The sequence below is a fragment of the Homo sapiens genome, chromosome 13 (assembly GCF_000001405.40).
Source record: "Homo sapiens chromosome 13, GRCh38.p14 Primary Assembly".
Taxonomy (NCBI): Eukaryota; Metazoa; Chordata; class Mammalia; order Primates; family Hominidae; genus Homo; species Homo sapiens.
Window position 1 is genome coordinate 107134371 of NC_000013.11, and position 1964 is coordinate 107136334.

The 1964-nt window shown below is 37.9% G+C and overlaps 1 long non-coding RNA gene across 1 annotated transcript; it reads left to right on the forward strand.

The window, feature by feature from the left end:
• The first annotated feature begins 682 nt into the window (after positions 1 to 682).
• On the forward strand, positions 683 to 1604 carry LOC124903205 (uncharacterized). Its single transcript, XR_007063862.1, has 2 exons — positions 683 to 728; positions 1364 to 1604. It is a non-coding gene; the product is annotated as an uncharacterized LOC124903205 (long non-coding RNA).
• The last annotated feature ends 360 nt before the right edge of the window (positions 1605 to 1964 follow it).

Sequence of the window (1964 nt, forward strand, 5' to 3'; positions counted from 1 at the left end):
TGTTACAGGGTAAAACAATTTGTTATGTTTACAAGGCTGAAGTAACAAGAAAAAACCCTTTTCAAAACTGTAATAGCTATTTGCAGAAGAGGAGATTGCTTTGCTCCAAAATACCAAGGTTCTTGCCCGTAATTCTTCTATAGGATCCCATAGAGCATCTCATGTTGCAGTTTGATTTTCTATAGATAGATCAACTTTGGATTAAGTAGCTGAGCATCTCACACTGCAGCCTTGCTACTGAAAAAGTTTTTCTTGCCCTGAATTCCACTCAAAATAAGTAGCCTTAATTATTCCTTGGTTCCTGGGTTATAGGGGCATACCCAAACCTGGTGTAACTTGTTTCTAAAATTCAGAGTCCCAGAAAACATTTTGATTTTTTCCTAGTGATAGGCTGTAAGGAGGCAAGCTTTGTCTCTCACTTTAGAAGGGATAGCCAAACATATCATATCCCTAGAGTACTAGAAATTTATATGCTATTGCAGGGTTTTGTTTTCAAACTTCATTTCTCCTCCCGTCTTCTGGTGTACATGTGTCTTACGGCTCTAGGTTACTTGCCAATTCCTGATCTCCAGGTTCAATGAGCATGATATCACTAACGCAGTGGATCATTGGAATGTTCTGTGTAGTAACAAGCTGGCCAAGATCCCATTGGACTATATTATGACAGAGTAGTGAAGATGACATAATTCTGAGGCATGACTGTGAAGGTACACTACTGTCCTTCCCAGGTAAAAGTAAATTGCTTCTGCTAGTTCTTTCCAGTCAGTTTAGAAGAAAACATAAACCATGTACAGGATATTATAAGTTAGGATATTATACTTGAAAGAATAACTACAATTACGGTCAATGCCTGGAAAAGTTTATAGTAATCCCCATGATTATCTGGATCCATTCAGCTTTTTTTAGGACAGATCAAGTGAGTTAAAAGTAGATGTGTATATAATCCCCGCCTGAGTGTATTTGAAATTTTCACTGGTGCCCTTATTTTCTGTAGTTCCTCTAGGGATGTGAGATTGCTTTTGATTTATTCTTTTTATTGAACAAAGCAGTTCCAGGGGCTCCTGTTTGCTTCCTTCTGTCCTTAATAACATCACTTCCTGACCAGAGAACCAATGTGAGGAAATCTTCTTTCCAGAATATGTTCTGTCTAGTCCAGCCATTCATTTAAGAATTGGGGAAATAACCCAGAATAAGGTTGTAGACTCACTCAAATAAATGTCAAATGGTCTTAGACTGTCTCAGAGGTGATAGGAGTCTTCACTTCCAGCAGTACCCCTCAGTAATATTTTGAGTTCTCAGGAATTAAGGTCAACTAAGAATTGGTGTCTAGTAATCTCTCCATCTCTCATTTTTCTCTCTCCAGTGTACAGCCATTCTGACAAAAAAAATGAGTAGGAAGAAGATTTGTAAAATACACTATTTATTGTGGCTATGTCAAAGGAAACATTCTCTAGGCTGTTGAACCTCACTTTCAACCAAGAAGATCTGCCTCTGTGAACAGACTTAATTCTGTCTGCTAGTTGGGAGGACATAAAATATTATTGTAGGTATTCATGCCATAATTTAAGAGATTTTGTGGTTAAATAAATCAATTAACATTTTAATATGCCACTGTCTATTTAATTCCTTGGGGCAACATGACCAATGAATCACCTTTATTGGTGCCTTTGGATCAACACACTCTGACACTATGCTCCTGCTGGCACTTCCATAATTGTACCCTCTTCTCTCTTGCACTTAAGCATTGCCAATGGCCCCTATCACTCAGGGTTCATCATTTGTACTAAAATTAGAGCCCATTTCAATGACTATATCTCTCGTTATTATCCCCAGCTATAAAACAGTTACAGAACAGTTTCCAAAGAGCTTTCTAAAGATACTAATGCTGTTCTCACCTATGCACTTTCTAATATCTGAGTAAACCAAGACACTTCAGAAGACCAAGTGTCTTCTGAACCCTGTCA